This window comes from Homo sapiens, chromosome 6 (genome assembly GCF_000001405.40).
Source record: "Homo sapiens chromosome 6, GRCh38.p14 Primary Assembly".
Taxonomy (NCBI): domain Eukaryota; kingdom Metazoa; phylum Chordata; class Mammalia; order Primates; family Hominidae; genus Homo; species Homo sapiens.
The window spans coordinates 40,426,251-40,449,002 of NC_000006.12; the positions used below are offsets into that span (position 1 = coordinate 40,426,251).

General features: G+C 46.6%; 1 protein-coding gene across 2 annotated transcripts in view; it reads right to left on the reverse strand.

The window, feature by feature from the left end:
- Positions 1-22,752, reverse strand: part of LRFN2 (leucine rich repeat and fibronectin type III domain containing 2) — a 195,774-nt gene that overhangs the window by 34,660 nt on the left and 138,362 nt on the right. For both annotated transcript variants that reach the window (NM_020737.3, XM_011514762.3), the window contains exon 2: positions 5,464-6,881. In NM_020737.3, the coding sequence (NP_065788.1) occupies positions 5,464-6,863 (1,400 nt within the window). In that variant the 5' untranslated portion in view covers positions 6,864-6,881. The remainder of the gene's footprint in view (positions 1-5,463; positions 6,882-22,752) is intronic.

Here is a 22,752-nt window from a genome sequence, read left to right on the forward strand (position 1 = left end):
TAAATGTTTTCACTCCTGCCTGAAAGTCAGACTGCCTGCTTCGTATCCCTGGAATGGAGTCAGCCAGGTTCTACTGAACCCTTTTGGTATGGGCAGCTCACTACTTTGTGGCAGCTTTTACTTTAATCTGCTGTTGGGCAGCTTTGATCTTTATTTCCAGTCTGTCCAGTTCACCAAATGTTGACTCTATAGCTACTTTGGACCAGGACTTACCAAGGGCTGAGGACATGGAGATGAGCATGCATGAATATCACATGCTAGCGAGAGGAAGATAGATACAAAGCCAAATCATTTCGGAGCCAGATGGAGAGCAATGAGAGACATGTGTAAGGCTGTTGCTGTTGGAATTTTGTTTTTGTAACGGGCCAATGCCTACTTCCATGCACGCATGTGTCTATATGTGTGCGTGTATGTCTTTTCCTCTTTTCCACCCACAAATACTTCGAATAAGTTAAAGGAGCCATGAGTTCTTTTCTAAGTCCTCTAATCTCCAAGGTAAACTTCTCCCATTTCACATGAGCTTCCAGAACCTCATTCTCATCAGCCCTCCTCTGGATACACTGCAGCCTGTAAACATGAATCCCAAGACTGTGCCATCCCAGATTAAACATATTAAAGCTCTGCTCTGACCAGCTAGAATGACTCAGCAGAACCATAACCTCTCATGATCTGACCACTATACTTCCATTAGCGCAACTAAAAATGACAGGGGTCTCTCACCAGCTCCATCACATTGTGGCCATAACATCCTCAAGATCAACTACAACTCTGAACCTAGGCACACAGAATTTCAGATGAGCCAGATTTTCCTTACCTTGAACTTGTGCAATTGCAATTGATTCCTTGAACCAAAGTGAAGATAGATGATTAATTGATTGATAGTTTTGTTGACATGACAATTGGCCAAGCCTATTTTCTGTGTAGTTATCAATCTTAATTAGAAAATACACTGGCAGTACAGAAATGGAACAGATGTTGAGGCAGAAGCCAAAGGCTTTCTGGCATATTTACATCAATTTATTAATCAGTCTGGTTATTTGACCAGTTACAAGTTCACTCCATCAGTTTACATTTCTCCCTTGTGTCCCAAGACAGCATGAGAGTTCGCCAAATGTCCTGTATGACTGTGACGTGCTCTGTTTATGGTAGTGACTCACAGCCAGCAGAAACTCCTAGGACTTTTTCCAACTGGACCTGTCACTCCAGAGATGCTGGTCCAGCCGAGAGTCACTATGCAAGGGGGCATGTCCCTGAGAAGCACCTGCCCTCATGAATGGCAAGGAGGCAGACAAAAAGGTTGAGAACTACTGGTCCACAGCATCTCCTGAAGACATGGTTCAATGACTTGGCAGGATTTGCCCTTAGTGAACCCATGTTAGGTTAGCATTCTTTTCCAAGGGCTCACAGCTACCTACTGAGAAAGTCTTTCCAGAGTTGTATAGGGACTCCATGTCCAGCCTAGCATGCTAAGCATTACAGAGTTTATTCCCTGAAAAGCAGAATATTCACCCCTTTCCTGTCTTAGGCATCTCTCTGTCCATGCTATCTCAGAATCACCACCATAGGCTTGAGAACCTCATCTACTTGCTCCTTTAGTCCTTACTCACCTACATGGGGCCCATCAGAGCCTGGTGACCCAGAACTCATAGACGGCACTGTGATGCAGGCCTGTTGGGCTTTGGCATTCCTCTCCATAGTATTGGTCTTGTTAGGTTGAGGCTCTGGGCAAACATACAGGCTGCCTGCATTCAGATTCCATCTCTGCTACTTACCCCCTGTTTAACACCTTGAGCAAGTTTCTTCTATCTAAAGTGAAATAATAGTTTTTACCTCCTAAGGGTTTGTGAGAACTAAATGAGTTAGTGCACATAGGACCCTTAGAATAGTGACCAGCACAAATAATCCATCAATGCAGGTGTGTACTATTATTGCTGCTGTTGCTGCTGCTGCTTTTCTCCTTGCTGGGGAAGATGGAGGCAAGTTGCAAGTTGCAAGTCTTTGCTTCTTATCTATTCTCATTGTAACCTCTTTCCCAATCAACATTTTTTCTTCTTGGACATAAACATGGACTAAAAAGCCCTCTATGGCTGCATTTAGCTTTCTCTGTACAGCATGTGCTCCTCTTTAATACTCATCTTCAGATACAGACCTCTCCTCCCTTCTTTTATATACCTTCCTGTTAAAATGAGCAGGGCAGAGAGGCCTGTGCCCACTGGTGTCCATGCTTTCTAATGAGGACAATTCATTTTCTAAAAATCCAGATTCTTTATTAGAGTCTCCTATTTCTCTCAAGCCATAACCCCTTTTAGGACAGTGGGCAGCATGACCACAGGGGTTGAGTCTGGGTGCTGAAGCCAGAGGCCGGAGTTCAAATCACAGCCCTGCCTCTTTCTGCTGTGTGATCTTGGAAGAATTTTATTTTTTAATTCTCTTGGTCTTTTATGCTTCTTCATATATCCAGAAGGATTAAATGAGATACTGCCTGTAAAAGCTAAGCATCAAACACATAGTAGCCTGGCAGTAATGTTTGTCAGTGATTGCTATTACCATTATCTGGCTACAGACTCAACGCTTACTTTTTTCTCAAAAATTTTGGAAATTTGTCTTCTTAAAGAGAAGACTGAATTGTATATCTAAACTTCCTCTTCCATTTTATTCCCCAGGATGGTGGATGTGATGCTAGTCTTATTTTATACTACTATTATCCTCACTGCTACTACTCTGCTACTAGTACTACTACTAGTATTGATAATAATAATCTGTATTCCTTGAGTGTTTACTACTATGTGCTCCCACTATTTGGAGGATTTCCACACTGTATCTCCTCTTATCTGCATAACCAGCCCTGAGAAGTCACCATTGTTAGCTGCATTTTTTTTATTCCAAGTTTTCTGATGTTTCCATTTAATTTACATTATTCTTAGAAAGTTAGTGTCTCCAGGTTCTCAATCATCAAATAAAAGTAATTTGAATTCCCACCTGAGTGATTACAGGAGTCTACCCCAAGCCCTGTCCTCCTCCTCCCAGTATCTTTGAGACCCCTGGCAAGCTGCGCCATTTTGGCAATGCTAGTGTGTTGCCTTCTGGCATCCAACATCTTCTCTCCCCCTCACGAACTGCGTTTCCCTGTGCAAACTGCAGAGCTGGTAGCTTTTTGCCTTTACACTTTTTATCAAAATCATGACCATATAATAAATTCACAAGTAAAGAAATATATTTATTTTCAAAAGGTCAACCTCATAAGTTAGCAAAGAAATGCAAATTAAAGCAAGTGCCATTTTTCACCTCTCAAATTGGCAAAGATGAAAGTAATTATATATTCAATATTGGCAAAAGTGTGATCAAAATGAGTACTTCCACTGGTGAAAGGGTAAATATTTATATGTAATGTATAAAGATTATAATTTACCCATAAACCAGTAATTCAACTCCTAGAAAAATATGCTAAGGAAATCACTGAAGTTGCACAAATATATTTATGGGCAAAAATATCCCTCACTGTATTACTTTTAATAATGAAAAATGAGAAACCACCTGAATGTTCCATAATAGGAGATTAGTTAAATAAATTATAATACAGCCAAATAAAAAATATTTTAATACCATGGGAACTAAGCAAGCTGTAATGTTGAGTGGGAAGAATTAAGATACAGAATATACACTGGATTGATTATAAATACCATTTGAATGAACTCAGACACCTTCCAAATTTCTCTTATTAACTTTGGATGGTGGGATTACAGGTAATTTTTATTTCCTTCTTCATAATTTTCTCTACTTTCCAAATTTTCAGTAAAGACTATGACTTTTATAGTGAGAAAAATACATATATGCATATTTAAGTTTGACTATATGCCCCTATCTATATATTCCTATATATGTGCACATATGCATGTGGGTAACTTCCGATGCTGCTTTCTCTCCATCCTGAGATGTGACACTGCTATCCAGACCAGGCCAGCAGCTGCCAAGTAAGGGGAGTTCCCCAGCTCTGCTACGGTTTCCACAACATACCCACCCTCAGTCACATTGACTCTATTCTTCCCCATGTACTCTTCTCTCCCAGAGCTTCCAATCCAGAGACTCATCAACTCAGACAGTCAGAGCTGGAGGAGACCTCCAGGATGGATCAAGTATTTTTGATCTCTCTTGCACCATGGGCCCTTTGGCTGTGTGATGAAACTCATGGGATCCCATCTCCAAACAATCATTTTACATGCATAAAATAAAACACACAGAATTTCAAAGGACACCATACATTCCTTGAGCGGTAAGGTTTTAGGCCATGTCCTTCATGTTTCATATAAGGGAACTCATCTGTGGTCAGCATTTTGGCCCCTGGCCTTCTGTCACTCTGTGACCTTCTTTCCTCTGAATGACTTATGTGATTCTATTGCAGCTTTCCACATTTAACCTCCCTTTCTACCAGACCTAGGAAATGACCCCTTGATTTTCAGAGAACTTTTCAAGGTCAGTACCATTGTCTTCACTTCTAGATGCAGAGACTAAGGCCCAGGGGGTTCAGCACAGGTGAGAGGGCTGATGCTACCTGTAAGACCCAGGGGGCTCACATGATGTGGTCTGACTCAGTCAGCGCTCAATTGGGAAAGGGAAGCTCTTCTCCCTCTAGGGCTCTAAGTAGGCTCTAGGGCTGCTTAGAGGACCCAGCAGAGGTCTCCCAGGGGAAAGAGACTCCCTGACGGTGAAGCCAACCCAGAGAAAAATAGAACTTAGGGAAGGTAAGAAACTGAGAATACAGATTTGTAGGGGACCTTTGATCCAGCTGAACCTGAAGCAGGTTCCTGACTTGTTAATGACATGAGTCAACACACTCTCCCTCCCTTTCTCTCTCTCTTTTTTTTTTAAAAGCCAGTTTGATTCAGTTACCAAAACTGAATAAGTGCATTTAGTGAGTGTCCAAACTAAGTCAGGTATTAATTATCCTTATCTTACAGATGAGAAAACTGAGGGAGGCCAGGAGAATGAAATGACTAGCAAGTGGAAAAGCCATGATTTGAATCTCACTCTTTCTGACCTCAGAGCCTTAACCATGACTGCATATGAGTCCAGGTGAAGGTCAAATGCATGCCTCTTTTGGGGAGTCAGAACCTTCAGCCAAGAGGTCTATTCATTGTCCTTGTATATCCTCCAACTGGGCTTAGAACAGAACATTCATAAGCTCATAGCCATAAGACCACTGACCACAGCCACCCAGCCGGGAGGTGTGGTCTTTCTTTACACATATCTCTCAGGCTGCCCGTGTGGATTCTTTTCTTCTTAGCCTTGTAGTTGATGTTCTTTTTATCTCCTCTTACCTGCACGAATGGCACAGTTTGCCCCAGAATCCCCACAGACACCTTTGGGGAAGAGGGGTATAGGTGGGAGCAGCCCCAAGACCTCCCCATCCCCTCCTCCTTCCCCAGCCAGACACCCTCCCTGCCTTTGCCACAGCCGCTTGCTCACCTGTAAATCAGTACCTCATCGTCAGAGCAGTTGTACTGCAGCTGGTACATCTTCACCCGGGGTGCTGACTTGCTGACAGACCACTTGACCAGGGCCGAGGTGGTGGTCACTTCAGACACAAGCACAGCCCGTTCCGGGGGGCTTTTGGGAGGCTCTCCGCCCCCACTGCCTCCACCTCCCCGGCTGGTCTTGCTGGAGCCAGTGATGTCTGAGAGGCGGGACTTGGGGGGTGCAGTGCGGCTGGTGCTGTTGCTGAGGTGTGGCAGCTGGACGATGGAGACCTCCACCATGGCCGTGGCCTCTCCGGCAGCATTGGCAGCAATGCAGGTGAAGGCACCACTGTCCTGAGATGTGGTGATGAAGATGTCCAGGGTGCCATTGTCATAGACAGCGGTCCTTGAGGAGTTCCCTACCAGGCGGTCATCGGGGGCTACCCAGTGGATAAGGGGGCTGGGGTCCCCAATGGCTTTGCACTTGAGTGTGGCCGCCTGGCCCTCCAGAACCAGCAACTTGTGTGTGTGCTGGGTGATGAGAGGCGGCTCGCACACAAACTCCTCCTCACGCACATGCCAGAAGTAGCGACCCTTGAGGCCCCCTGGGGAGCCACAGGTTTCCAGGTCATCGTCCCGCTCGAGCCTCCGCAGCCAGAGAAGCTCACAATTGCAGTGAAGTGGGTTACCCCCAAAACTAAAGGACAAGGGTGGGGCAAAGGGTGTGGCTGTCAAAGCCGAAGCCTGGGAGCGGGCAAAGATGGGATCAGGGGGCAGCTTCTGCAGCCGATTGGAGGTGAGATCCAGGCGGGCCAGTTTCTGCAGGTCTGCAAAGGTGCCCTCGGCGATGTGATCCAGCAGGTTGTGGTCCAGGCTCAGCTGGTGGAGGTTGACCATGCGTCGCACGGAGTCCCACGGCAGGCCATGGAGGTTGTTGTAGGAGAGGTCCAGATCCTCCAATGTCAGCAGGAAGTCCTCAAAAGCCTCATCTGCGATGCCGCCCAGCTGGTTGTTGTTCACGATAAGGTGCTGCAGGTTGACCAGGCCCCGGAGGGTGTCCTCCCCAAGGCTTGGCAGCCGATTGCTGTCAAGATGCAGGGAGCGGAGGCTCTCGAGGTCCAGAAAGGAAAAGGGCTGGATGTGGCTGATGGTGTTCCTGGACAGGGTCAGGTCCACCAGCCCCGTCATGTTGGCAAAGTCCTGGCGGCTGATGTGGATGATGAAGTTGCCGCCCAGGCGCAGCTCCACTGTCCGCCGGTCAATATCAGGGGGTACAAAGAGCAGCCCCTTGGAGGGGCACAGGGTCCCCAGTGACTCAGACAGATTCTGGCAGACACAGTACTTGGGGCAGGCGTCGACCACGGCAAACGCCATGCCAAACGCTAGCAGGCCACCAAGCAGGGTCTCCATGGTCTGGTCACTCAGCGCCTGGAAGGGAGAAACACAAGCTCAGGGTCAGGAGGCAAATTCCTAATGCACTCACCCAGAGCTTCCTCCCTCACATTAACCCTCACTGCCTTAGGGAGTGGCATAGAATGGCAAGTGCTCAAGCAAGACCTAATCTCTTCCATGAATCCCTCTAATGCAGTTTTACTGTTTCTCTTTTCCTTAGCTTTATCACCTTCTAACACACTATTTAGTTTACTTATTTATGATGTTTATTTATTGTTTCCTGTTTCAGTCCTCTATGGTCAGCTCCAAAGAGGGCAGGTACTTTTGCCTGTTTTACTAATTGCTGTATCCCAATTACCTAGCTCAATGCCTGGAACACAGTAGCTGCTCAATAACTATCTGTTGGATGGATGGATGGATGGATGGGTGGATGGATGGATGGATGGATGGATGAATGCGATACCATATCATTGGCTTATCCAATAATTGAGTTTGAAAGGATATTATGGCTGTTTTTTGAGGCATAATTTTACATTCTTAATTGGTTTAGGCTTAGCATGAAATTAAATTGAACCAGCATTCCTTAAGAATGAGGTTGTAGATAAGAAGAGAGTTGGTGCTGAGAGACTCCAAGGTCAGTGGGGAACTGTTTCACCAAGGAGAATCCACATAGTTTATGAATCTTTGAGAATGTGGGAAGTGAAGAAGGAGGTGTGATGGGAGGCAAAGGAGTGAATTCTGAACCCTTCATAAGCAATTAGCCTCTATCTGGACCCTCACATACATCAGCTCTTTTGGGCTTTAGGAATCCCCTTCAGAAGGAAGGGATTATCTATACACAGACGAGGATTGATCATGGCCTCAGAGCCTCCTTTGGATCTTTACTCACAAGTTACCTTCTCCCAGAGGCCTTCCCAGATGCTCTTCCATGATCATCCCTGCCCCGCCCCGCTGCATAGCCCTCTTCTCTGCTCTGTATTTTCTCCTTGCAACTAATCCCTATCTATGTTTTAACTATTTGTCTTCTTTATAATTTGTTCTTTTGCTCTAGCCGTAAAGCCCCAAGAAGAAGGGACCTCTTTTCATTCACCACTGCATGCCCAAAGCCTAAAGCGCTGCCTGGCACATAGTAGGTGCTTTTACAAGAATGGCTATCTAAGAAAGAAAGGAAGAGAAATCTGACTCAAGTCTTTGCGCCTCCAAATGTCAACAGTTTCCTCACTATCCCATGTTGTACTAAATGTGGCCTTATTGATACAGTGCTTCTTGGGGCTTTACTGATAGAGCAAAATGATAGCCAGTTGAGTTGGACTTTTGGAAAATCATGCAGCACACTGATTGTGTAGCATTATGCAGACCAGCATTTCTCAAATTGCCTTTTTTTTTCTTTTTTTTTTTTTTGAGACGGAGTCTCACTCTGTCTCCCAGGGGAGCGCAGTGGCGCAATCTTGGCTCACTGCAACCTCTGCCTCTGTGGTTCCAGTGATTCTCCTGCCTCAGCCTCCCAAATAGCTGGGACTACAGGCACACACCACCATGCCCAGCTAACTTTTTGTATTTTTAGTAGAGACAGGGTTTCACCATGTTGGCTGGGCTGTTCTCAAACTCCTGACCTCAGGTGATCCACCTGCCCCGGCCTCCCAAAGTGCTGGGATTACAAGCGTGAGCCACCGTGCCCAGCCCCTCAAATTGCCTGCTAAACATACTAATTAGAGTTCTGCAAAAATGGCTTCTAAGGCCAGTAAGGTGGGGAAGCATTGCCTACTCTTGCTTTCTCTCACAATAGCTCTGTACGCATGAGCAAGTTTAGAAGAATTGAGAAATTCTGCTGCAGTGAAACACTAAATTAATGTTTAAGTTTGCATTACTCCTATTTCTTTTTACTATAAAGACATCCCTTTCTTGAGCAATGGTTTTACATATATATATATATATATATATATATATATATATATATAGAGAGAGAGAGAGAGAGAGAGAGAGAGAGAGAGAGAGACAGAGAGATAATATATATTATATATTTTATATATATATTATGTATTTTATATATATATATACAGAGAGAGAGAGAGAGAGAGAGAGAGAGACAGATTCTTGCTCTGTCACCCAGGCTGGAGTGCAGTGGCACAATCATAATTCATGACAGCCTGAAACTCCTGGGCTCAAGTGATTCTCCCACCTTGGCCTCCTGAGTAACTACAGGCACTTGCCATCATGCCTGGCTAATTATTTTTATTTTTATTTTTGTAGAGTCAGATTTTGCTATGTTGCCCAGGCTGGTCTCGAACTTCTGGCTTCAAGTGATCCTCCTGCTTCAGCCTCCCCAAATGTTGGATTTACAGGCATGAGCCACCTCGCCTGGCCAATATCTTGTGGAAGTAGAGCTCTATAACTCCCAGTTTGAGGAGCACAGATGCAGAAAAAACTAGCTTATTTTATTTTTTGTTTCCTATTTTTTTTTGAGACGGAGTCTGGCTCTGTCACCCAGGCTGGAGTACAGTGGCATGATCTCAGCTCACTGCAACCTCTGCCTCCCAGGTTCACGCCATTCTCCTGCCTCAGCCTCCCTAGTAGCTGGGACTACAGGTGCCCGCCACCACACCCGGCTAATTTTTTGTGTTTTTAGTAGAGACAGGGTTTCACTGTGTTAGCCAAGATGGTCTCGATCTCCTGACCTTGTGATCCGCCCGTCTTGGCCTCCTGTAATAGCTTATTTTTTTTAAAAAAGATACGTAATATATTGAAAAATCTATTCCTATCATACACTTTATTATGTATATTTGAATTCCATTATTGCGCCTCTTTAAGGGTAAATCTCCTACCTGAGACCCTTCAAGGGCCAGAGGCTTGCCCTGTATTTTTTCTGGAGAGAGCATCACTGTGAAGTAGAAATATGATGTGAGCCAAAAATGTGACTTCAAATTTCCTAGTGGCCATATTTTTTAAAAAAGTAAAAAGAAACAGGTGAAATTAATTTTGATAATGTATTTTATATAACTAGCTATATCAAAATATTATTTCAATATATCCTCAATATAATTATTAATGAGATGGCTAACTTTTTTATTTTACAAACTCTTCAAAATCTGGTGCGTATTTTACCCTCAGAGCACATTTCAAATGCTCATTAGCCATATGTGGCTATTGGCTACCATACTGGGTAGTGCTGTGAACTGTAGCTCACAGACCAAATATATCCTGTCACCTGTTTTTGTAAATAAAATTTTATTAGAACACAGCCATGCTTATTTGTTTACATATCGCATGTGGCTTCCTTTGTGCCACCATGGCAGAGGTGAGCCATTGCTGCATATAACACATGGCACTGAAGCCTAAAATATTTACTATCTTGTCCTTTACAGAAAGAGTTTGCTGACCTCTGTTCTATAGGATATGTGTTTTTTTTTTTCATCTTCATCAAGGGCACCTTCATTAAAAGCCTTGGCCAAAGTGCCGAGTTCCACACAGCTCTGCCCTGGCCTCCCCATGAGCACCTGCCCACCCTGCCAGTCCCTGTTCTCACCAAGCTCCCACCTAAGGTAGACCAGCTTCACCTTACCCAGGCCCCACCAGGTCACAGGTGTTGATACATGGAAGCTTTCCACCTGCCACCTTTCCAACTTGCTCTGTGCTCAAAGGTGTTCTGGCCTTCTTGGTCTCTACTTGCTGGGGCCTCATAGAACAAAATGAGGATCTTCTCCACTTGCATTGAGTCTTGAGTTTTCTAGCTACACCTCCCTGTGACTCATTGTGGTCACAGAATGAAGAAGGCTGACGTTTTTCTGGCTACGGCATCTGCTCAAATATAGTTGAGTGGTATTCTCTATACCCACGAGAGCACATGAACAGCCACAGCCACATCCAAGGATGTCCCTTGCTAATTAATCAAGAGGTGGTTGAGTGTGTGTGTGTGTGTATGTGTATGGGGTAGTGTTCTATGGCCCCATGAGAAAGGCCATCTCTCTTATGAGCTCTTATCAGTAAATGCATCAGTGTTCTAAGGCTAAACAGCACTTCCCAACATTTTCAAGTCCTGGCACACAGGAAATGATATTTGTCAGGTGCCCCTGGGCCCAGGGCCAAGGCTATTCATGGCCTGTGCTGGATATCTTCCACTGTCCCTCCAGATCCTCTCTCCACCCTCTCCCCGCCAGCTCTGCATTCTGGGAGGCTGATCCATATGGACCGCATCTGTGCAATATAGATGGACTGCCTCCGCCATCCTTTGTGCCCTTCTACCCTTGGCTGTGTTGCCTGCCCTCTGGTAGAGACAGCAATGGCAACAGCAAGCAAAGAAGGCCCAGACGCTTCCAGATGCATACCCTGGAGCTCAGAGGCACAGAGCCCATTGTTTCAAACAGTTGTGTCCTTGTAAATTATGTTAAACAAACCACAGTTTGAAAAAAGTTTGTGGAGGATTAACAAACGTCTAATGAATTCAAATCTGTGACATAATAGAGCTGGGTAAATATATTTTAAGTAATCAGCATGGAAGATTACTGACAGAGAAGTGACTATTGAATCTTAATTAAAATTGTATTCTGAGAACTGTCACTTAATATGTTGTTCTAACAGCCAAACAAAAGGCGGCTTAAATCCCAAGTTGGGAGGGAGACAAGGGGACTGGATGAATATGTGTAATTAGTGTATATCTAGGTTGCAAGGGCTCTCTCTTTTGGGCAAGAATTTGGACAAATGCTGTAAAGAGGAACGCCAGGCCTAGTTCCCTCTAAGTATCTTAGGGTGGTGTAGGTGGTGGAGAGGAACCAGGATATCCTCCATCTGGGCTCACAACAGAATATTCAGAAGCTCATAGCCACATGGCAATTAGGGAAAAGGGCTAGGACAAGGAACAAAGAGATAAATGAAAGTGGGCAGGAGGGGCAGTGGGATTATTTGTGGGCAAAGCTGAGAGAGGTGTGTGGGGATCAGAAGCGAGGCTGAAATGGATGCTGGTATCAAATGTCAGAATCAGCCTTCATAGGAGGAATCCATCTGCAAAGGAGCGAGAGCTTGTCTGCCCAGAATGTCTATGAGTCTGCACTGGGGTAAGGCAGGGTGGCAAAGAGAGGTAGATACAGGGGAGCAGGGAGAAGTAAAACACTCCCCAAACCGAACCTACACCATTCCAGAGAAGCAGTCCAGTCTTGGGCATTTACCCAGGATAGAAACAGTATCTCCTCCCTTCCTTGACTGGGTTTCTTCATGTAGTCTTCACAACCCCACAAGGTGAGTGCCACCATAATTGCACAAGGTACCCTTGTGCAGGCAGAAAGAGGTGTTCCTGCTGGCCACTGGTAGGGTTCCCTTATCTGAGCAACCTCGTGCAGTGAGCAACTTGCCCCACCCTACCTTGTGGCCCTGAATATTGTCATCCCCATTTTAGCTACTAGGAAGTGAGGTTAAAAGAGGTTTGAGCCTGCCTAAACTACCCTAGCTACCCTGGACAGAACCACAATTTAAATGGAGATCGTCTGGCTCCAGGCCATGCTCAGAGTAAAGGAGGCCCCTCTGGAGGCTTCCATGTGCCTGGCGTACAGAGAGACTGGCTGTCTTCACTATGGGTTTGCTTAGTAACTGGTGGTGAACCAGCTGTTTGGCTACATGTGGGCACTTGTGTTTCCTGCTTGGGGTTGGGCCTGGAAGGGACGCTGGCATTCTCGGAAGTAGAGAGGCCTAACTGGCCCAGAAAGACCCACCTGTCAGGCCCTGATAATAGTGAGTCTCTCACACACATACACGTGTTCAGAAATACATACTGGCAATAATAAATATAAAGTTGTGGAACTAGGCCCTTGGTTTGTAATAAAAGCCTCCAGATGTGATTTTTACATTTAAAACAAAAGGGAAAAACAAAGATGAGGACAGAGAGTGGAAAAATAATGAACATGGTGGCAGAAAAGGAAAGTTCTTGTTCCTTGGCTTGACCACAGGCTTTCCCCCCAGCCAGGGGCTTCCTCCCCTCACTCCCCTCCCTGGGCTCTGCCTCCCAATCAGAACCACCTCGAGCTGTTCCAGACAGAAGAGGCAACAGTTAGCAGATGGCTGGCACGATATATGTGATATCTCTGTACCCTGATTTCCATTTAAAAGATACCTTAGCAACCAGCCGAGGAGCCGCCCGCCCCTAGAGCCTGTAAATCAAGTAAGATGCCTGTCTCCGCTTCAGGTAAAAAGAAATGGCCCCTCCAGGGTGCTCCAGGCCTGGAAAGTGTGAATTAATAAGAGTGGGAGGGGTTGGGATCTGCCAGGGAGAGGCAGCTGCCTGCACCTTCTTTCCAGACTTCCCCTCCCAGAGCCCCACTGCTCCCCATAAATCACACCACTCAAGGTGAGCCCTGGAGGGACCAGCTCTGGAGAAAGGGTGGGGAAAGGAAACTTGAGTTCCACTTGTATGGGGGCATACAAGCCCAGAAACATGCTGCTTTTCTGATTTGGGAGTTGCTGGGGGTGAATGCTGCCAGCACCATGTGCCAGCTCCAGTGTGAAGCCCCTATCCCAGCCTTGCTGTCTCCAGCACATCCGCCTCCCTGCAGGGTGCCCATACACTCTCAGGAAGTGACATTCTGAGGTTTCATCTAAGAGGTAGCATCAGTGAGTTGATTTCCAAAACCTCCTTTCCAAAGCCACCATGTATAGAGATTCTTCTAGAATCTTGAGAAGAGGCAGCAGAAGCAGGCTCAATGAGTGTGTGTTGGGGTAGGAGAGGGCCCCTGATCCAGAGAGATCCCACTCTGACAGGGGAGGCATAGCCTTTGACTTCAGGGACCTCTTAGTTCGACTTTGGAGTCACAGTTTCTAATTTGAAGGTAGGGGGAAAAGAGAGAAAGAGAGACAGAGAATCCCCTGAGTGAGCCTCCTGCTCTCAGAAGGTTCTAGCTTAGTGGCTGCAGAAAGACACCCACACAAGATGGGCAAGAACATTCCCTGTTCTTTCCCCAAACAAAACCTTGGGGACATGAGCCACATCCTGAATCTCCAAACTTCTTCATAAACCCGATAAAAACAGCAGTCTTTGGTAACACAGACAACAGGAAAAAAAAAAGGCAAAATAATGTCTAAAACATCAAAAGGGCAGAATGAGCCCATTAGGCTCTTTTTAAACTTCTATTGTGCAAGATAAGCAATTGTTATCATAAGTAAGTCATTAAGCTCAGAACCACTTCCTCTCTGTTCGCAATGACAGCATTATGCCTCCGTATTAGCACGTCCGTGATAGCTTTTATTGTGTTGCAACACAATTATGTGTTTGCCTGCCTTCTACCCTTGTGCACCTGGGAACCCCTTCTTGGCAGGGATTGTATATTGCTCAGCTCTGAGTCGATGGTAGCAAATCCAGTACCTGGCACTGAGTAGGCACCTGGGATATGTTTGAGGAGAGAATGAACGAATGAATGAATAAATGAATGAATGAATGAATGGATGCTCCAGCATGAACAGACACAGTAGCCCTTGGCCCCTCTGACACCCTGTGGCCTCTGACTCAATGCAAGTGCATGCTTGCACCTCTGGGGCAGGCTGGGTATGCTAAGGAATTATTGCCTCCAGAGAACAGTCCCCAACCAATGCTAGTGAGGGAGACAGAGGATAAATACCTCAACATCCTCACCTCCTGGGTGGGATAACTCCAAGGTACATTTTACATAGTCTTCTACAGGCCCCTAGGAGGGCTGAGCCTCAGTTGCCCTGCCCAGTCACCTGCTCCTTAATGCAATGTATGTGGGCCTCCTTCCTTTGCCCATCTCATTTCCCCACTTCTCTTCCCTCATTTCCTGCAATCATTACCCAAATAAACTACTTACACTCAAATCCTTATTTCAAATCACTGTTCCATTTCTGGGGAATCCAGCTCAGAGCAAACTTCTTAATTATAACTGTCATTATATAAGGGACCAACTAACTGAGACTGGGCCGCTGTAGAAACGTGAGATGCAGGGAAATAAAAAATGATCTAAAAATCATGCATGTTCTTGTCAATAACTAACAACACCAGCAACTTTCAGAGGAAGGAGACCTCAGTTCACGTGCCAATGACTGGTAGTAATAGTTTAATGGAAAACATCTTCTACCCAGGGTATTCACGACCTGGGCTGTGCGGCACTCGCCGTCTGTTGTCTTGAGACACGTGTGAGCCAATGTGTGAATGAGTGTCTGCGCATGAATGGAGGGAGGCCCATGCATGGATGGGGTGAGGGGTGTGAACGCGGAGGCTAGAATGTGAATGGAGAGGTGTGTGTGTGAGGAAGATCTGTGCAACAGTGGGCGTGTGTGACAGCGCTCCTGAGGGCGTGTGAGTGAGGGGGCCTCACATGAATGGAGGTGAGTGAACGGGTGTGTCTCTTGATGGAGGGCTGTGTGGGTAAAGGAGGGCTGGATTTCACCAGTGGGGGCCTGGATGTGAGTGAGTCTGCCTGAGGAAGAGAGAGGGAGCACAGCTTGTTTGTTCAGCTTTGATGGAAACAAATGCTATTTTCCTGCTGTGTTGTCAGCTTCGAATGCATTAATCTTCATGGTTGCCTGTGATCTGTCCCTGCTTTGGGGACACAGACAACCCACAGGCTGGCAGCTCTCAGCGTCATTTTAGACCTTGGGCTGCTCCTCCTCTCCCTGCCTATCAGCCTCCACTCCAGCCTACAGGTGTGAGTACGTGGGGGCCCTCGTGTCACACAATGAGATTTTTGCTTTGAATCAGTCATGACTTTGAAGATTCTTTGTCCAAACTGCCCCTGACCCCCAACACTGCCCATGTTTCAAGCATCTTTAATTCTCAAGCAAGGCTCCAACCCTAGGAACCTGGAGGGAGACCAGAGTTCCTGGATGGAACCTTCTCACCCAGAGGGTGAAGGTGGAGAATGCCCAGGGATGCATTTCCAGTCACCAGGGCCTTGCCGGGCCTTTCTCCCTCACCCAAGGACTTCCCCAGCAGATCCAAGTGCCAGGCCCTAGGCCTTGCTATCTCAACCCCTTACTCCCTCCTGCTCTGAATCACAGAGCACCCCAGTTCACTAACACACCAGCACCCTCTACCCTCCAAAGGCCTCACCCTTTCCCTAGTACCCATCCAGGAGCAACTTCAGTGCAGGGTCTTCTCTAGGAAGGGGCTAATGAAGGGAGCAGTGGGGTGAATAACGCAAAGTGGCAGATAATCCTAAACTCATTTCCATTTGGCTGGAGAATGTTCACTCTATGATTTACTCTCCTCATTATGGTTGGCCCAGGCAAAAATTAAAATAGGCTTTTCTTTTTCAACCTACACAGGATAGAGGGTAGGCAAAGGCTAGGAGGCTAGGTAGCATTAAAGGTCACTGTGGCTAGACTCCATAATTATGGGCTGACACAAGACTTGACAGTTACTGCAGGTAGGGGTTGTATTTCCTTCAGCCAACTGGGGCTCCCTGAGGACAGGGCTGAGTCTCCCCTCAGACTGGGACCCTCTGAGGGTGGAGCTGGGGCTCCCTGAGGACGGGGCCGCGTCTCCCCTCAGACTGGGGCTCTCTGAGGACAGGGCTGGGTCTCCTCTCAGACTAGGGCTCCCTGAGGATGGGACTCTGTTTCCCCTCAGACTGGGGCTCCATCAGACAGAGCTGTATCTTCTTTCTGTATACCAAGGATAAGCCCAAATTTCTGCCTCCTGGGTCTGAGGCTGACATGAGCAATGTCCTCATGTTTCCTCACAGCCACCTCTCCTCACTGCATGGGGCCCTGCTGAGGGCCTGGTCTCCCTGAACACCCCTCCTGGTTGTGCGGAGCTGGGCCTCAGCAGGGGCTGGCCACGCTGCGTCTCTTGAGCATCATGTCCTCAGGCTGCTCTGAGGAGAGTCTCATTACACAGGCCTGCAGTTATCACCCTGCCCTGTTATTATGTGTGTGGTGTAACATCACCCATAGCATATTTAATCTTAGGATTCTAATAACCCCTCTTATTATTAAAACAAAAATAATTTAGAAAATCAAATTTCCTTCCTGAAGGGCGTTTGTGTTTCATTTGCCTGTTTGTGGGTGGCCAGGCTGGGCTGCTGCAGTGGAGAACAGGTTATAGACAAAGGGATCCCACGTGGTACCGGCAAGGTTTGGTCTATCCTTGGCTTTGGGACAGAATCCTCACCTGTTGGCCAACCTGGACTTATAGGAAACCAAGATACACAGAAACAAGAGGACTTTTCAGCTGTGACTACCTTTACTGTTTTTGAGCCCCCACAGATTATTTCAGTAAACATAATTCATAGAAAACAGCCGCAATAGGGAAAAGGCCCATCTGGGGGATTCCCACAATAGGCTGCCCTAACTCACATGCATTAGCCAGCTCTGAAGTATTTACCAAGCAGCCACAAAAGGGTCAGGATGAGATACGGATCAGGACTTCCACGGCCTTTGAGGGCAAAGAGTGGCTAGGCCTATATGCCATCTTATCCCCATGCACATACTACAAATGCTTCCCCCAAGACCAGGTGTAATCCAGGCCCTGGATCCTTCCTCCCACTTTGCAAAAGGCAAATGGAGCAGAGTCTCCCTGCCTGCACCTTTCTTTATTGCTGTCCTCTGTCCCTGCAGTTCTGGGGAGAAGGGGTGGAGACACATTATCAGTCAGGGGCTTGAGAGGAAACAGATGAGAGAATCCAAGCAGCAGCTGAAGGATGTTTGATGAAGGGACCATTTAGAGAGATGTGGGCAGGGTGGGGGAACAAAGAAGAGGTGGCATAGCACCCAGTGGGTGGCAACAGAGGGGAGCTACTCAGCCTTCCACCCCTAGCCTAAAGGGACAAAGGTAGAGGGCAGTTTCTAGAACCCAGTCAGGGCATAGCCATGGGAGAAGAGTTGTCCAACAGGAGGATGTAGCCCTAAGTACACAGATACAACCCACTGACAACCTAGGGCTGGGAGGGAGCTGGCCAAGGGAATTAGCCTGTCTCTTTCACCACCCTCTCACCACTTGCTGATGCCCCCCAATGGCCAAACCTAACTAGAGGCCAAGGGGTAAGGAAACTTGCATGTAGTTGCCCGCACAGGTCAGCCTACCCGGGCACAGAGCAGGGCAGTTAAAGGTGGAGAGTTTATTTGGAGGAGCAAATAAATGAAAAATAGCACAGACAGGTAGTCCTTCTCTCTTTTCAGCTTTCTCAATGAGTTATTGGATAATTAAGGCACTTGGAAGTATAGGAAAACGAAGAAGGGAAAGAAGGGGGAAAAGGAGAAAGAAGAAAGAGACAGAGACAGACGAGAGAAATTAATCCATTGGAAACAACAAACCCACAGTCTCAAGAGCAGTAAATATGAATTCAATTTGGTTTTGCCATTTATAGAACCCAGCCTTCTAAAGAGCTGACAGGCTGATCAGATAAAAGCCGCTGTTGCCACCAGGACAGCACATTTAAATTTTTATTGCAAACACCAGGCTCCATTACCCTGGGATTTGCTCTCTGCATTCCTAATATTGTCTTTCTTCGGGTGGGAATGGGAGTATCCTGACTCTCACTTACAACCGGATACAGCAGGAAGAGCATGCATAGGAGTTCTATAAGCTGGGTCCCTGCACTGACCCTGCCTTGAACCTCAACAAGCCACTTCTCTTTGTGCCTCAGACTCCTCATCTGGGCAATTAAGCTGGGTGGGGGTCATCAATTCAAGTTGATTTCCAGCCCTGGTTTGATTAAATGTGGGCAAGGAGCAGTGAAGACTCAGAAAACCCTAGCAGTTCTGTCCACCCCGCACAGTCTCCCTCTCAGTCCTCAAGTCCAAATAGGGCTTCTTTTTTCCTGCTTTGCAATTTTTTGCTTCTCCATTTCCTCCTGCCTCTGTCTTCTTCATGATTTTTTTTTTTATTACCTCCAGTCTCCTCCCTGTTGACTTTGTTTGCTGTCAAGAGCTGGAACATTGCAGTCAAGCCCTCCCTCCTTCCTGCACCCCCTCCACCTCACCCCCCCAGGGACCTGCTTTACTCAGCAGCAATGATTCAACCATTCAGTTAGGCTTCTGTCAAGCACCAGCCCCACGTGGGCATGCAGACATGGGGTGGTGAAAGAGCTGGATGGGACATCTTCCCTCTTCTCAGGAGGAGCTTACAAACATATACCTGGATAGGTGCAATCCAAGGGAAGAGGGAAGTATCTACAGGGTGTCTGGTGTTTTACACGTTATTTCATTTAAGCCATTCAATAATGCAGTACCATCTGCCGATTTTATAAGTGGAGAAATTGAAGCCGAGGAAGCTTCCACACCTTGTTCAATAACTTATGACAAAAGGCAGAGTTGGAATCGCAGTCCAGGTATGTCCTACCCCCTCCCAGATGACATCATTCTCAAGGCGGAGAGAAAAGGAAGTGGTAAAGAGTTATGGGAATTCTATGGAAGACTCCCCCACCAACTAGGGCAAGGGAACTTTTCTTGGAGGAGGTGGTGCTGATTGTGGCCTTGAATGATAGGTGGTAGGATTTCAGCAGCTTGGGCCAGTTGTCTTAATGAGGACATTCTAGAAGGAAGAACAAAGATTCAAGGTATTGTGATTGGAGAGAGGTGGATCTACCAAAGGTGGACAATTACAGAAACCTTTTAAAGGAAGCATCCTCAAGAGGCCCCGGCTTGAGAAGTGCTGGCTTAAGAAATTGACTTACTGGCAAGGTGGCTAGTGGTAGGCACATGGCCTCTGGGGTCCAGCCACTTTGTAGGACTAAGGAATCCCCTCAGCTTCAATCCTGGCCTGCCTCTTTCTGGCCCTGTGGTCTTGGGCAAGTTGCTTGACCTCTCAATACCTCAGTTTCCTCACCTGTAAAATCGAATAATCTTATAAAGTTGTGAGGATTAATTGAGTCAATCCTGTAAAACACTTAACCAGGGCCAGGCACAAAATAAAATCTCAAAACAGTGTTTCCCATTACAGTTCTTATTAAGTGCACTCTCTTTAAGTTGTGACTGGCTGTTCTCAAGGAGAAGCTTTGGTAAAGAATGAATTTTAGATTGCCACCAAAATAAAAAGCTGAAATGTAAAACATGTTCATAGAACTCAGCACCTCCTGGGGACCTCACCATTAGTTTAGGAAATTCTGCTGTTGTCGGTTAGATGGGCAGGAATAGAGCCATGACTAGGGAGCAATAATCAAATCTTCCTCCAGCCTGGCCACTCCTGAATCCAAGGCTGGGGTGTAGTCTGGGTGTAGGAGGCCTCCTTGCCCAGGAGAAAGGCAACCAGCAGTGGAGAGATTTTTTAATTTTTAATTTTAATGAAGGAAGAAGCATTCCAAGGCAAAAGTGGCTAGGGCCCACGAAGGCCATAATGCAGCCCTGCTCACCTGTTATGGGGGCTACAGAGGAGAAAGGATCTCCCCCTTCCCTGCTGCCCCTACATTCCTCGTGTCTGATCATTACAGGCTTTTTAGTAATTCTCTCCCCAGCAGCTTCCTCACTGCCAATGGCCTTGCTGATACAGCTGCTGTGTGCTGTGTTCATCAGGCTTCTGTCACTAGGGCTAAGTGTATTTATTGTGCTACATCATTAGCGGCGATATGTATACATTGAACACCTGCTGTGCTGAGCTCCATACAGAATCTGAGTAAATAATTTTCTTTCTGTCCTCTGGGAGGCTGCAATCTATTAAAGGCAAGACAGTCTGCACAGAGGAAGACACACAATTATCTTCTTCCAGTAGGAGACAGAGAGGTGCAGGCAGGGAATAAATGATAAAAGCAAAATCTGCCTTGTTTCTCCTTCAAACTAGACCTCCCAGAGAAGTGGGAGCTGTGTCCCCCCTCAGACTGGGGCTCCCTGATGATGGGGCTGTGTCTCCCTCAGACTGGGGCTTCCTGAGGATGGAGCTGTGTCTCCCTCAGACTGGGGCTTCCTGAGGATGGAGCTGTGTCTCCCTCAGACTGGGGTTCCCTGAGGACGAGGCTGCATCTCCCCTCAGACTGGAGCTCCCTGGGATTGGGGCTGCGTCTCCCCTCAGACTGGGGCTCCCTGAGGATGGGGCTGTGCCTCCCTCAGACTGGGCTCCCTGAGTCAGGGCTGTGTCTCCCCCAGACTGGGGTCCCTGAGTCAGGGCTGTGTCTCCGCTCAGACTGGGGCTTCCTTATAACAAGGCCACACATTCCCTCATTATCCTATTAGTTTTCCAAGAAAAGTATTTCTACTTTTTCTATCAAAGCAAAAGACCCTACCAACCTTCTCATTAACCTCAAGCAAAGCATGTCCCCACCGTATGCCTCAGTTTTCTTGTGTAAATGAGGACATTAATTACCTTTAAAGTTGTGGTAATGTTACGACATTAACCTCAAACTCAGAATTCTGCCTCACTCTCAGGCTCTCTTCTTTCCCCAAATTTGCCTACCTTTAACATCACTAGAGGCAGAGCTGTCACCATCCCATGATGTCTTCTTCCACCTGAACTAAATGGGGACCTGAGTTTAGAATCTTTAACAAGTTTGTTCCCAAACCTTTATTTTTCTGTGAACTTCTCAGAAGGTGAAAGACTTGACTTTGCTCAAATAATTCTCACTCTTCATTACTTCAAACGTAGATGATATCATCATCATCATCATCATGAAATGGTGAACACTTGAGTGCTGATTCTATGGTAAGCATTTTCTGCCTTAACACATTTCATCTTCCCACCCACCCTATGAAGTGGGTGTGGTAGTTATTTCTATTTACAGATAAGGTGAGGCCCATCAAGGTGTTTAGATGATGTACTCTGGGTGGCCTACCTAGTAGGTGGTCCACCTAGTAGGTGGCCCCTCATCCATCTGGGCTCTCAAAGAGCTCTGTAGATATTGCCAGAGTCTAGGGACCCTAGGACTGACCCCTGTTCTCCTCCATTAGAATCAACCAACAAAATGTACACAAGGCTCTATCCAAACAGTAATCACTTTATAATCAAGCACTGATATTAACTGATAATTAACCAAGAAAGAATGGGGAGCATGCCCTGGAGTTTCAGGGAGGGAGGCCCAGCCTTTAGGTGTCAAAAGCCACGAGTGCTCCTAGTGTTAGGGCAATAGCCTGTGAGAGACCGGGAGCGTGGGTCCTCCTGAGCAGTGTCCTTCACACCCGTGAATCCTTCCTCCACTCACACCCATCACTTGGCCTTGGGATTTGCGGGCTTGCTGAGTTGGGGAAGCAGCTCATACCTTCCCACTATGAAGAGGAGAAGCAGAGCCAAGTGCTTGGCTGAGGTAGTGAGTTTTGTGCTTCTCCTGCAACCCCCTGGGTTTGGTGCACCCATCAAGCACGTGCTCCCCTCCAGACCCCACCTCTGGCAGCCTCAGATAGGGTGAAAAAATAATTATTTTGAGAATCAGGAGATCAGGGCGAGCCTGAGGCCAAAAGAGACTCACTTCTGCCAAAGTAATAATGATACCCCATGAATATATACAAATTGTAAATTTACAATAAAAGATAAAAATGAAAAAAATGAAATCTTTGCATCCTCCGTCAGCCCTAATCTTTTGGATTCTTATCTTGCTGCAATACTCAAAAAGATCAAATACATAGATGGTTAAAATATTAATGGCTGATTATCTTAAATGAGAATTCTACACTGCCTTTACCAAAGGACCGAATCGCTAATGAATTTTTAGGCACTATCTCCTGACTTGTGGTGTTGGTGTCTGGAGAGATTACAAGGCTGGGAGATCCTAATCGTTTCTCTTAATTCACACCATATACATGTTTCCTGTCCTTTGGCAGAAGGCAGAACCAAGGAAGCTGAACACTTCCGGCTTCAATTCCCTTGCAGAGCTGGAGATTGAATGGAGGAGGCTGGCTGGAGGCTCTGTGGGCTGGGAAAGGGGTCCTGGTCCTGTTTTGCCAAAGGAAGGAAGCAAGCACAGTTTCCTTCTTTAGTTGGGAGGGGTAACAGGGAAGTCAGGCTAGGGGCTCAGAAGTATAACCAAAGCAACCAACTCTTCCTTGACACGCA